Source organism: Homo sapiens, chromosome 13, assembly GCF_000001405.40.
Source record: "Homo sapiens chromosome 13, GRCh38.p14 Primary Assembly".
Taxonomy (NCBI): Eukaryota; Metazoa; Chordata; class Mammalia; order Primates; family Hominidae; genus Homo; species Homo sapiens.
In genome coordinates, this window is record NC_000013.11 from 25,264,057 (window position 1) to 25,278,130 (window position 14,074).

General features: G+C 38.6%; 1 protein-coding gene across 13 annotated transcripts in view; it reads right to left on the bottom strand.

Moving 5' to 3' along the window:
• Positions 1-14,074, bottom strand: part of MTMR6 (myotubularin related protein 6) — a 41,267-nt gene that overhangs the window by 17,835 nt on the left and 9,358 nt on the right. For 10 of the 13 annotated variants that reach the window (NR_169592.1, NM_001385237.1, NM_001385234.1 and 7 more), the window contains exons 2-5: positions 10,015-10,131; positions 3,723-3,885; positions 2,073-2,230; positions 1,763-1,891 (exon numbers count right to left, since the gene is read on the bottom strand). Coding sequence is in view for 12 of the 13 variants with exons in the window: in NM_001385237.1 (NP_001372166.1) it covers positions 1,763-1,891; positions 2,073-2,230; positions 3,723-3,885; positions 10,015-10,131 (567 nt within the window). In the remaining variant the exon portion in view is untranslated. The remainder of the gene's footprint in view (positions 1-1,762; positions 1,892-2,072; positions 2,231-3,722; positions 3,886-10,014; positions 10,132-14,074) is intronic. The other 3 variants (NM_001385231.1, NM_001385238.1, NM_001385233.1) reach the window with 3 other exon arrangements.

The window sequence follows — 14,074 nt, forward strand, 5'->3', positions numbered from 1 at the left end:
AACAATAACTAATGTGGGAAGCATGAGAATTATTTTTTTAAATCTTTAACATCCTCAAAGAACTAAAACATCACATCCAGGAATAGAAAACCATCTTTAAAAATTTCAGAAAATAGGAAAAGCTCTCAGATATTAAAAACACCACAGCAAAAAAAGGATCTAAGACACAGACTGGAGATGAGGTTGAGGAAATCTTCCAGAAAATCCAAAAAAAAAAATGAAAAATAAAGGAGAAAGTTTTTAAAAAAGTAGAAGTTTATTCTACAAAGCCCAATTGTCAACTAATAAATAAAAAGGACAAAGAAAATTAATAGAACAGAGGAAATTATCAAAGAAATAGAGAAGCAAATTCCCAAAATTGAGACCTGAGTTTCTGGATGAGATTTAAAAGGACATTACTGTGAAATTTCAGAACAAGCAGGGCGCAGTGGCTCACACCTGTAATCTTAGCACTTTGGGAGGCCGAGGCGGGTGGATCACTTGACGTCAGGAGTTCAAGACCAGACTAGCCAACACGGTAAAACCCTGTCTCTACTAGAAATACAAAAATTGGCTGGGCATGGTGGCAGGCGCCTGTAGTCCCAGCTACTCAGGAGGCTGGGGCAGGAGAATCGCTTGAACCCGGGAGGTGGAGGTTGCTGTGAGCCGAGATCACGCCATTGAACTCCAGCCTGGGCAACAAGAGAAACTCCATCTCAAAAAAAAAAAAAAAAAAAAAAGAAATTTCAGAACACTGGGGAAAAAGAGGATTCTAAAAGTTCTCAGAGAAAACAAAATCAGGTCCCAAAGGACTGGGAGTCAGAAATGGCACAGAATTCCTCAACTTACTTGCTGTGAGACAAGGAAGTAATTTACCCTCTTTGAATGTCAGTTTCCCCACTTGAAAGTTACAGGTAATTAGTAAAGCCTACCTTACAAAGTTAGGAAGACATACATGTAAACCATTTAACATACAGTACCTCTTGGCCTTCTATTAGTAGGCTACAAAGGTAAGTTTTACTAATATAAGCAACCCTTATTACAGCATCTCACTATAAAGATGCCTCCTCCACTGTTTCATGTTGCAAAATCCTTTTGATTTGAGCTTACTATTAAAATGGGACCCTGAAATGCCCTTGGTTCTCTCCCTTGTCTCAGCGGTTGTCTTATCAAAACTATCTGGTTTTCCCAAACACAAGCAGAATCAAAAGAGAACCACAGGAAAGAAAGAGGATCCTATCTGTTAACTAATTCTATTATTTTCAAGTCACTGCTGGAAGGAAGGGAGGGTCAAGAAAAGATGACAAGAAGTATGAAAATTTCTGTATTTGAGTAGTTTTGTTTTAAATTTGCAAAAACGTAATTAAACAAAAAGCCAGTGCTTCTCCATTAGCAATCTTTTAATGTAAAAAATAGTGTTCTTGATCCAGGCACAGTGGCTCACACCTGTAATCCCAGTATTTTGGGAGGTTAAGGCAGGTGGATCACTTGAGGTCAGGAGTTCAAGACCAGCCTGGTCAACGTGGCAAAACCTCGTCTCTACTAAAATTAGCCAGGCATGGTGGCACGCGCCTGCAGTCCCAGGTGCTCGGGAGGCTGAGGCACAAGAACTGCTTGAACCGAGAGGTGGAGGTTGCAGTGAGCCAAGATGGTGCCACTGCACTCCAGCTTCGGCAACAGAGCGAGACCCTATCTCAAAAAAAAAAAAAAAGTGTTATTTTAGATACTTAAACCTGAAGATGAGTTATACTTTATTTCTAAAATCAAAAGAAAAGCATCCTACCTCCTTATCTTGATGATAGTAGGAAAGAACTGGGAATCTTCCCTTGCTCCGGAACTTGGAACTACCAACAATTATTGGTTTGCTTGCTATCCGGGGAACATAAAGTTCTCTGGGGTAAGTTTCACAAATCTGTAAATATCAAACAAAACATAACCATTGTATTCTTAGTTCAAAACCACTTTAAAAACCTTTAAACCTTATTAAATGCAAGAACAGCACATTTCAGTACACAGACAACTTGCTACGCTGACACTCTCTAACCCTCTGGTACTAACACTTTCTGAATTTCTCCAAAATGTTGTTAAGGTACCTTGTAGTCCCGGTTGGCATCAGACAACTGCCAGTGTGAGTTTGGCACTCCCATCCTCTTATATTCCTCAGCGAGATCAATGAGCTGCCAGCCTTGTAGTCGTTCTGAATCATTTTGTTTGGGATTATAAGAAAATGCATAGAGATCTTCATATTTTGCTACAGAATACAAAATTTTAAATGTTAAGTGCAATTTATAAGACTTATACACTACAAATAAATGTAATTTTTCAGTTTTCTTCCTTCATTTTTCTCTTTACAATCTTCAAAGAGATGGCTAATACCTGAATACATTTGATGTTCAGTATGCAAATGATTATACCTAAAAAGCACACATATCAATCTGAGATTGGATTTGTCATCAACAAAAGTAAAGCTAATAAATACAGTCAGAATAGTTAGACTTACATGTTAAATCCTCTATTGCAGTATTTTTCTTAAAAGTAAAATGATAAAGACACTAATAGACATTTCCTACTAATCACTTTCCCAAATGAGATGTAAAATAGACTAATGTTATAATGAGAAGCTAGAGACAGATACAGAACATGAAACTGCATTATACATCCCTATAGGACACTGTTGACTAAAAATGGCAACTGTTGCACAGAACTCTTGGGGTGCTTCAGAATCATCCTTACTATAAACTCTGGCTTAATTTGAGACAATAGGATGTTACAGGCTGATGTGCTCAGAGAGAAGAATGAACAAAGACCTGCTCTGAGACCACTCTTGCAGGCAGCAATCCAGATTGCTCAACCAAAATCCAGTCCGACATATAATTCAAGTCATGTTTGGGGAAGGAAGTCACCAGATCCACAGGGCATAAGTAGCGATAAGATTCTTCTTTAGTGGCTCATGCCTGCAATCCCAACACTTTGGGAGGCCGAGGAGGGTGGATCACAAGGTCAGGAGTTCAAGACCAGCCTGGCCAAGATGGTGAAACCCCGTCTCTTCTAAAAATACAAAAATTAGCCGGGTGTGGTGGTGGCTGCCTGTAATCCCAGCTACTCAGGAAGCTGAGGCAGGGAACTGCTTGAACCTGGGAGGCGGAGGTTGCAGTGAGCTGAGATTGTGCCACTGCACTCCAGTCTGGGCGAGAGAGTAAGATTCCATCTCAAAAAAAAAAAAAAAAAAAGGTTCTTCTTTAGGACTGCTATCCCTCTCAACCTTACTTCTACTAAAATAGAATTCACCCTCTCTTGTTTCTCTGCTTATCTTCTGTATCTCCCACTCAAATCTATTAAATATTTTAGTCCCACTGCCACCAAAGGACCTTGACCTTCCTTTTATCATTCCGTAATATCAACTTCCAAGTCATTCTCTTTGATTGTGAAATACCCACTTAAAAAATACATTGTGCTACTTGCCATCAATAGACTTAAAAGATTAATATAAACCTGTGGTTTTGTAAGTCTCTACTATAAATGCTTTACTTTTTCCTTACCATTACCCCTTCTGATGACACCATTCTTATATCAGATCAATAGTTTCTAATTACTTTCAGGCCAATATGGGGGAGATAGAGTACAAAAGAACCTGACTGTCAGAGCAAAAAAGGATAAAATAACAATAATAAAACATTAAATAAAGTATCTTAGATAACCCATCTCAAATTGAGCATGTAAGCTTTGGTCTCTAAGAACAATACCTTGTTTTGACAGTTGTAGCAAAGAGTTGTAAATATCATGGCAATCTCTTTCTCTGGGAACAATGAAATGCACAGTTCTGAAGTTCTTGCACTGTATCACAAGGGGGCATCCAGAAGTAGTCAAAGCAAGTTTCTCTACTGAGGCAATATGGTGGTGTAATATCTACAGCATGAAAAAACATCCAGGTCATCAACATGGAAAGCACTAAATATTCTCTTCTAGAATGCATAAGTTTAAGAATGTCTTCCTCAAAAAAAGTTGAAAATGTTACATACTCACTCAAACTTCACGTTTTTAAAATGACTGAATGCCCAAGTCAGAAATATGGGTGTCACTCTGATCCCTCCTCCATCAGTCCACATACTCAAGACATTATCAGACCCTGGGAACTGCATCTCCTACATGTTTCTGTAACCCATCTACTTCTCTCTATCTCTACTGTCACATCCCTAGTTGTAATGTCCCCACTGTTTCTCACCTGAACTACTATAAACAAACAGCCTCCTAAATGCTCTCTCCATACCTACCCCTGACCCTCTGATCCATTTTCTACAACACAGTAGTGAACATTGAAAAGCAGATTAAGAAAAGGAAGGGAATCTAGTCATTTCCAGTCCCTCTCCCGATCACTGACTATGTTCTAGTGACAACAGCCTTCTTTTGGCTCCTCAAATGCACCGAGCTCCTTTACACATGGTCAGATGCTCCCACTAACTGGAATACTGTTAACACTACCTCTTCATCTAAGAACTTCTAGACACATTTCTGGTCTTTGCTCAAAACTCATAATAACACCAAAAGCGTAGCCTGACATGCCCCACAACCCTTTCCAAGTAAGTTAGGCCCCCTCCCTTTTCTTCCTGCAGATCAAGCTATACTTTTCCTTCACAGTGAAGGCCACTGTGAGGATGCCAGCTGCAGTGGGGGAGGTGCAGCCAGGGTTGCGCGCTCTGCAGAGCAGGCAAGACCTGGGAACAGGTGATCCCAGTGGAAGCCCCATACCCTACCGAGTTGGCAGGGCAGGAGCCACACTCCCGGGCACAGCTGCAGCCGCCCAGCCATGGCTCTGGACCCAGGCATCCCTGTGCTCTTGGGGGCCTAGGAAACCCCCTCCCCCTGCAGGTTCAGAAGTGCCTGCTCCCACTCCCTGGCCTCTCCCAACTCCCACTGCCTGTTCTGTGGTAGAGCAAAGTTGTGGACATGTCCCAATAGCCAAGCCCAGATACTGTCGTGATCTAGCTGGGTGTGCATGTGCTTGGGGCGGTACTGACACACCAGCCCCTAGCTGCCTTGGCCCCTCTGGAAACTGCTTCTGAGGCTGAAATTTTGGGTGCCCATGAGCACAGGAGGGAGGCTGAGGACCTTGGGGGTGGCATGGTGCAGAGTTGATCAACATTACATCTCCAGCACCTAACACAGTACCTGGAACATTATAATTGCCCTCCTCAAATCAAAAAGCTTGCAAATGTTATATATCACACACTTCAACTTTAATTTTTTAAATGTGAATGCCCAAGCCAGAAATATGGATGTCATCCCTGATACCTCCTTTATCACAATAAGAGTTTACTAAATGAATGAATAAAAAGTCCTACTATAAACTCAATACTTGATGGTATTTTAAACATATGCTTATTGTTCTCACCTACTACCAATAATATTTTGTTTGCTACTAAAAATGCCTACTTTTTCTTAATAACACTCCTATTAAAATATTTATAGAAAACTTTTCTGGAGAATAAAAGATCATAGGCTCCTAATCATGCAAGAGATCCATTTATCCCAAATTAATCTAAAAATTCAACATAAATTTCAGTTTAAAAATTCCAATCTGCTTTGTTTTGTAGTGAGGGATGATTATTTATATAATACACATATATTATGTAATTATTACATTATATGTTAATATTAATTATACATCTTAAATCTAAAGTTCACCTGCAAAATTAAATGCATTTAAATAATCAAGAAAAGCTTGAAAAACAATGAGAGAAGCAGTTGTCAATGGAAATTAAAACTACATAGAGAACAAATAATTAACACACACACACACATATATAGTCCTTACGGCTAAGATTTAGCACCATTATCACTTATATTAATGCGCCTGTGACAAGTTACTAAAAATGATCTAATAATAACATTTAAACAGAGAATAAGGAATAAAAGCTAACTGTAATATTACAAGTTGAGAACCCTTTATCCAAAATGTTTGGGACTAGAAGTATTTCAAATTTTGGATTTTTAAAGATTTTGGTATATTTGCATTATACTTATCAATTGACATCCCTAATCTGAAAATCTGAAATCTGAAATGCTCCAATGAGCATTTCCTTTGAACATCATGTCAGTGCTGAATTTTTGGATTGGGGATATTCAACCTGTACATCACTGTTCTGATTTTAATTATAAAAACCCAAAAGTATTTGCAGGAAGAAAATGATGAAGAAACCTGGTCCTACCACTAACTAGTTATGTGATTTTGAAAACATAATCAACTGTAAAGTGAGAAAAAGGATATAAGGTTGATACGGCCCCTTCTGGATCTAAAATGTTCATTTCTATGGCTCTAGTATATTAAACAAACTTCATTTAGGGCAAACATAAGGGAATATACTGATAAGAAAGCATTTAAAAGACAACAATAGGAGAGTAGAGAATAACACAGATATCTTTTTGTTGCCCCTCAAACTACATTCCCAGCAGCTGAGGGAATAGCTATACGGGAAGCCTTCATTTATATCTCTACGAGATGGATAATAGAGAAAATACTGAAGCAAGTGGACAAAGGAGGGGTAGATGGAGTGGATGATAATATGACTAATTATTTCAGAAGGTACTGCTAGGTAAAATTCCTGGCAATTCTTGGACAAACACTGGATGAAGAAGGGATCCAGTGCCTCTAGGGAATACAACTTCTCCAAGATCAGTATCTCAAGTGAGTTTCCTTAACAGCTGATATAGAATCATATATCAATTGGTTAGCCTTCTTGGGGAAATCAGAAGAGTACAATCAAAGAGAGAAAGAGAAGAGAACAGTATGACAGTATGTGCAGTACAGGGGTGTACCACAGAGCAACATCAATCTCTGGACTGGGAGGCATAATTGACCTCTAATCTTGATTCAACTGCTTAGAAAAATAGTATGAGCAGCTATGATTTACGCCACTACTATGTTTTACGCACAGATGTTTTTCATATTTTCTTTCATCTAAGACTCACAAAAGCCCTACATGATGACTGATGCTATATACCCATTTTATGTGGGTGCTAAGCTCGAAAGTTACATACTTTTTGGCAGACACTGTTGGTCTGCCATTCCTCCCCCCCTTCCTTACTTGCAACATCCTTTTCCCTCAAGAGATAAAAAATACTAGGATCTACATTCTCTGCCTCCTTTTCAGGTAGGAGTAGCCAAGTGTCCGGATTTTCAAACAATCAGATGTTAGGGAAAGTTAGCTGGGGGCCTTCTGAGAGAGCTTCTCCTCCCTGATAAGCAATGGGGCTACTGAGGAAAGCCTACCCACCTCTCCTGCTTTGCAAGGTTTGGCACCATGTTCAGTCAGGTATTCATTTACTTACAGCCAAAAGCACCCTGACATAGTCACCCAAGCAGTGAACAGCAGAGCTGACATTTGAACCCAAAGCTACCTGACAACACAGTCTACGTGAGCTCATTTTACTACTCTACACTGCCTGTGTAACAATGAATGAATTGCCACTTGCCTGAGCTTCAGCTTCTTCATCTATAAAGTGGAGGTTCTAAAAGCTGGCAGAGCTAGTGGCACAGAAACATGCCCAAGTCTCTTCCTCTCAGGCACAGAGACACAAGCCCCATATTCTAACCACCTTTCCTACTTCTTTTTCTGCTTAGCACTTATCACTATGTATTTTACTTATCTACCTACTTATTGGTGATGTTATCAATATCTTTCAGCACTAGAATGTTGGCTCCATGAGGATAGAATTTGTACCTGTTATTATTGGCTATTGTTTCCAAAATATCTAGAATAGTGATATGAAACACACTGTATATGCTCAATAAATGTGTGCTAAATGAATTCTAAAACAGAAAAGGAAGAACAAAGAATCCAAAATAGCCATGGCAATTTTGAAGAACAAGTTGGGAGGGTATGCTCTACTTGATATCAAAATTTATTTAAAAGCTATAGTCAATAAAACAGTGTGGTACAGTGTAGTCAGTATACCAAACGAATAGAAAAGAAAACTCAAAAGCAGAGCCTCACATACATGGAAGATGTTTTTATGACAGAGCTGGTACTAAAGACGAATGGAATGAAACAGTCAATAAATGGCGCCGGTCGTCTATACGAAAACATAAAAATGAATCCCTAGTCACATCATACACCAAAATATTTCCCAGATGTATTAACAACTTACAGGATCAAACTTAAGCTTTTAGAAGAAAATATAGAAGAACCTTTATGACTTTGACATAGGAAAGGATTTCTTAAGTCACAACAGAGCACAAACAATAAAAGAAAAAAATGAAAAATCTATAACATTAAAAATATAAACTTCAACTGAAAGACATATAAAATAAAAAACAGAGAAGACAAGCCACACACTGGGAAAAGCTATCTATGACACACACATCTGACAAAGCATTATAACCTAGAACTCTTTATTTGTTTTCTTGAATAATACTTTTTTTTTTAATTCAGTGGGTACATGTGCAGGTTTGTAATATGAATATACTGAATGATTCTGAGGTTTGAGCTTTGACTGAACCCATAGCCCAGACAGTGAACACAGTACCCAAGAGGTAGTTTTTCAACCCTTGTTCCTCTACTTCCCTCCCTCCCACCTCTATTAGTCTATTAATGTCTATTGTTCCCATCTTTGTGCTCGTATGTACCCAATGTTAAGCTCCCACTTATAAGTGAGAACACGCAGTATACGGTTTTTTGTTTGTGTTAATTCATTTAGAATAATGGCTTCCACCTGCATCCATGTTGCTGTAAAGGCCATGATTTTGTTCTCTTTTTATGGCTGTGGTGAATATGCACCACTTTTTCTTTATCCAATCCACTGCTAATGGGCACCTAGGTTGATTCCATAGCTTTGCTATTGTGAACAGCGCTGCAACAAACATGCAAATGCCCGTGTCTTTTTGGTTGATTTATTTTCCTTTGAGTATATATCCAGTAAAAGGATTGCTGGGTTGAATGGTAATTCTATTTGTAGCCCAGAACTTTTATAAAATCAATAAAAGACAAACAACCCAATAAAAAAAGAAAAGGAAACTCTTTCCTTTTTCTTTATCTGAAAAGGGTAAATTCTTTATAATCAGCTCATTAACATTACAATTGGACATCTACTAGATAGGCAAAAAATTTTAAATTGACAATATCAATGTTGTTGAGGATGTACAACATTGTGTAATACACTACTGAGAATAAATTGGAACAACCATTTTGAAGAGGTGACATACTTAGTAAGGTTATATATGCACTTATTCAAGACCCAATAATTTTACTCCCAGACAAATATCCCAGAGAAACTCTGGCAAATATACAGAAAGAAACATATACATATGTCTCATATAAATACACAAAATGTTGTTTACATGTATATGTACATTGCAACATTTATACTAGCAAAAAAAATAAGTACCCTAATTAAAATTTGTATAAAAACACTGTGGAATATACCAAACAATCCGTTTGATCTGTTAATGTGTACATATTTTTTAGATTTTTAAAAATTAAAAGGAACAATAGGATTTTTTTTTTTTTTTTTTGAGACAGAGTCTCACACTGTCACCCAGGCTGGAGTGCAATGGCGCGATCTCGGCTCACTGCAACCTCCGCCTCTCAAGTTCAAGCAATTCTCCTGCCTCACCCTCCCAAGTAGCTGGGATTACAGGCACCCATCGCCATGCCCAGCTAATTTTTTGTATTTTTAGTAGAGATGGGGTTTCACTATGTTGGCCAGGCTGGTCTTGAACTCCTGACCTCGTGATCCACCCACCTCGGCCTCCCAAAGTGCTGGGATTACAGGCGTGAGCCACCGCATCCGGCCTAGGAACAACAGGTATTTCATAATTATTTATGGAGATAAGAGTGTGGTATTTTATAGAATTCCATGTTACATATTCTATAACTGATTTATTAGAAGGGAGGGCAGGAGTGATCTGGAGACCAAAAAATATTTTGGTTGAGATAGGTAACCAATGATTAAAAATTGTGTTATACACATTCAAAATAAAACATGACAGACCAAGTCCATTATTATTATGATAAATAGTACAGCTGCGGTCCTCCTTACCCAGGTTTCTTTTTGATGAGAGTCGATAAATAATAGATGTGTAGCCGTAAGATACAGTGTTCCTGTTAATGACTTGTTGCTGGTACTGAATCGGTCAAGTAATTTTACTTGTTCGACCTAAAAGAAAAAAAGATATTATTTCTCATTTCAAAAGTAGTATAAATTATTTTTCTGTTAGCCCAGGACTTACATGCAACATTCTCAATTTTTTCTTCCTCCTAAAATCATAAGAGCTTATTTAATACTTACTGTTAAATTCCATATATCTTTTTGGGGAATGTATAAGCCACAAATAACATAGAGATTATTTACAGTTACAAATGTAACCAATAGAGAACCACATTGTAAAAAACAGTAACACTTATATTGAGGGTAGCAAGAAACAGGGGTACAGTACAAATAAGCAAAAACATTTTTCATACCCAAGAGTCAACATTTTTATCTAAAGTTGGAAAATCAAAAAATAAATATATTATTATCTAGTTTTAGAGTAAACTACCAGAAAAATTAAATCAGGAAACATTTAAATGGTTGCCAACTCCAACTTAGTCTCTATATTCTCTTCACTATCCCACACCAGGGCAATGATTGTTTTTTGTCCACCTCTGGGCTTTTACTCACACTGTTCTCTGTTTCTAAAATGGTCTCTTCTGCTTAGCTAAGTGGCAAGCATTCTTCAAGACTCACTAACATCCTGCCTCCTAACATTAATCCTTATTAGAAAATCAGTTCATTACTTATGTTTTGGCTTTGCATTCCTCTGCAGCTCTGAATTCCCTGGCATAGATTATGTCCTATGCTGCTTTGGCCTCCTCTACTGCCTGAGCTGATAAGGCACATAGTATGTTTTTATGAATACTAGTAGACAGACACACACACACACACACACATACACACACACACACACACACACACACACACACACACACACACACACTATGTTGCTGCTGGCGTGGAGAGTGGGACTAGGGCTAACCAGGAATGTGCAGGAGGCTACTGCTGGGAATCTTTGTGTTATTCATCCTTACGAAAAAAAGTGAAATAACCACTACCAACCTAAAAAATGTTAATTTGGGCCAGGCACGGTGGCTCACGCCTGTAATCCCAGCACTTTGGGAGGCCAACACGGGTGCATCACCTAAGGGCAGGAGTTCAAGACCAGCCTGGCCAACATGATGAGACCTCTACTAAAAATATAAAAATCAGCTGGACATGGTGGCACACGTCTGTAATCCCAGCTACTTGGGAGGCTGAGGCAGGAGAATTGCTTGAACCCAGACGGTGGAGGTTGCAGTGAGCCAAGATTGTGCCACTGCACTCCAGCCTGGGCAACAGAGTGAGACTCCATCTCAAAAAGACAAACAAACAAACAAACAAAAGTTAATTTATGTGTACCAGCAGGTTGCAGACAGTTTTTTAAATCGTTTATATCTTCAAAATCATCTAGATAGCTAAACACTAGCTCATTAATTCTACAATTTTCTCCCATATATTAATATATTTCATTACCGCCGGGTGTGGTGGCTCACGCCTGTAATCCCAGCACTTTGGGAGGCTAAGGCAGGGGAATCATGAGGTCAGGAGTTCAAGACCAGCCTGCCCAACATGGTGAAACCCCGTCTCTATCAAAAATACAAAAAATTAGCTAGGTGTAGTGGCGGGCGCCTATAATCCTAGCTACTCGGGAGGCTGAGGCAGGAGAATCACTTGAATCTGGGGGTCAGAGGTTGCGGTGAGCCAAGATTGCACCACTGCACTCCCGCCTGGGCAACAAGAGCGAAACTCCGTCTCAAAAAAGAAGGGAGGGGAGGGGAGGGGAGGGGAGAGGAGGGGAGGGGAGAGGAGGGGAGGGGAGAGGAAGGCTTTCTACTTAAAAACCTGAATAAAGATTTCTCTTAGAGGTCAACATTTATTTCACTGTTTAGGACTATTTCTCCCTTAAATAAAAATCTAGCTTCATTTTACAACACACTGCAAATCCAAACTTAAACACCTTTTAAGACAAATGGGATCAACTACTGTTTACTCCTCTTCATTGTGCGTGACTTGGCTGGAAAGGGCACTGTGGCCAACCACCACCGAGCAATTATTGCAATATAGATCTCACCTGTCTTTTTGGGTGGAGCCACAGAGCCAAACCATATCATTTCCTAAGCTATTAAAACAAAGTTTTTAAGGCTCTAACAAGAAGACAGTTGATGAATATATATGGAAATAAAGGTTACCACAAAGTATCAACACTACTCAAGCAAATAATTTGTGTCCACATCATTCAGTAGAGTTTCAAATAGCTTCTCAGAAAAAATTAAAAAGTCTACTGGCAAGTAGTTTAAAAGTGGGGAGGGGCTGATTTTATTACTATTTAAATAGGAAGTTTGCTTTAAAAAGAAATCCATGTGAAATTTTAAATTTGTGGATTTTTTGAAGATCATAAATATTCCTGGTTGTGCTCCAATTATAAACCTCAAGTTGTAACTTCTCTATGAGGCACAAGTATCTACAAAGCTTCTATACATGCAAAACAATCACACCGCTTTTCATTTGGATTTTATTCCTCTTCTGTCCATCCCCTGTTCACTATTACTCTTCCTCAGGGGTCCATTCTCTATAGGAATCTTACCTACTGTCATTATGTTAGCCTATATTTTAATGACTCCCAAAACTGTATGTCCAGCTCTGCTGTCTCCTGAGTTCACACTGTCTGCTACACAGATAATATTTCCTGACATACTAGTGAGGTCTCACTATGTGCCTAGTGCTGTGATAAGTGCTTACCATACATTATTTCTTTTAATTTTCACAACTCCTGTGTAGTATGTACTAGTACTGTCCCCACAGAAACTGGGACTTGGTGAGGTTGGTTAGTCATCTCAAAGTCATACAGCTAGAAGCAGCTAGTGGTATAGCTTAGTCATAAACCTATGTGATCTGATTCCCAAGCCAAAACACCTTCCCACTATGCTATACTGCCTCCACTTAGATGTGTTTGAGCCGTGTTATACATACTGAACGCAAAACTGATTTCCCCTCTCACCCCTCACAAATACATTTCTAATTCTGTATTTTGGATGTGAGTTAATGTTACTCCTCCATCCTTATCAAGTCACCCACACTGGAAATCCGTGAATGATCCTATGACTTCTTCTCAACCCCCAACATTCAATCAATCACCAATTCCTACCATTTTTATCACCTAAATATTTTTAAATCTGCCCCTTTCACCACTATTAAAGTAATTCCTAAATTATAATGAAAGCCTCTGTTCATGTATCTGTCTTTTCCACTAAAGACTAACATAGCCCAGGGCAAAGACTGTCTTTCATTTATGCATGAATATCTCCTAACGGTTAGTAGAGTGTCTGACACAATAAATGTTTGTTGAACTAAGATGAACGGCCACAGAAAAATTATTCCCCCAGGTGAAAACCAGAAGGTGTGCCCAATTTACCAGTGATCCCTTTTGTTGAAATCATTTGATTTATTAAATAAGATTCTTCTTTATCCCATTATACTTTTCCTCATCTCTCTGCTATCTTTTCCCTACACAGTGGGTGAACAGTAGGTATTCATTCAGTAATTCTTGAATAAACCAGCAACAAACTAAAAGCAAATAGAAAACTACTAGTAGAACACATAGGTATAGTTCAGTTTTTGGTTTTGGGTTTTTTTTCTGTGTGTAGTACATGTCTGGACTTTCAATCCTCTATCCCCACTCCATCATTCGATTAGAATAAAATCACTCCTCTAGAACTGTATAGTTCTTTCTGGCTGGGTCTCTTATCAAGGTGGGAAATTTGTGGTGAAAATGCTCTTTCCAACACTCTAAGCCTATTTCCTGACTCCCCTTAGTTTTATATGCAAAATAATCTGAAATTCTCTTTGTTAGATCTTTAATTTTGGTCAGCTATACAGGATTCAAATCCTAGCTGTTCATATGAATCACCTCTAAAACTTTGCAAAAGTACAAATCCAAAGCCTCACCCCAACTTCACTCAGTTATCTGAGGAGATGGAGACTAAGAATCCGTATTTTTCATAAGTTCACCTGCTCATCTTATGCA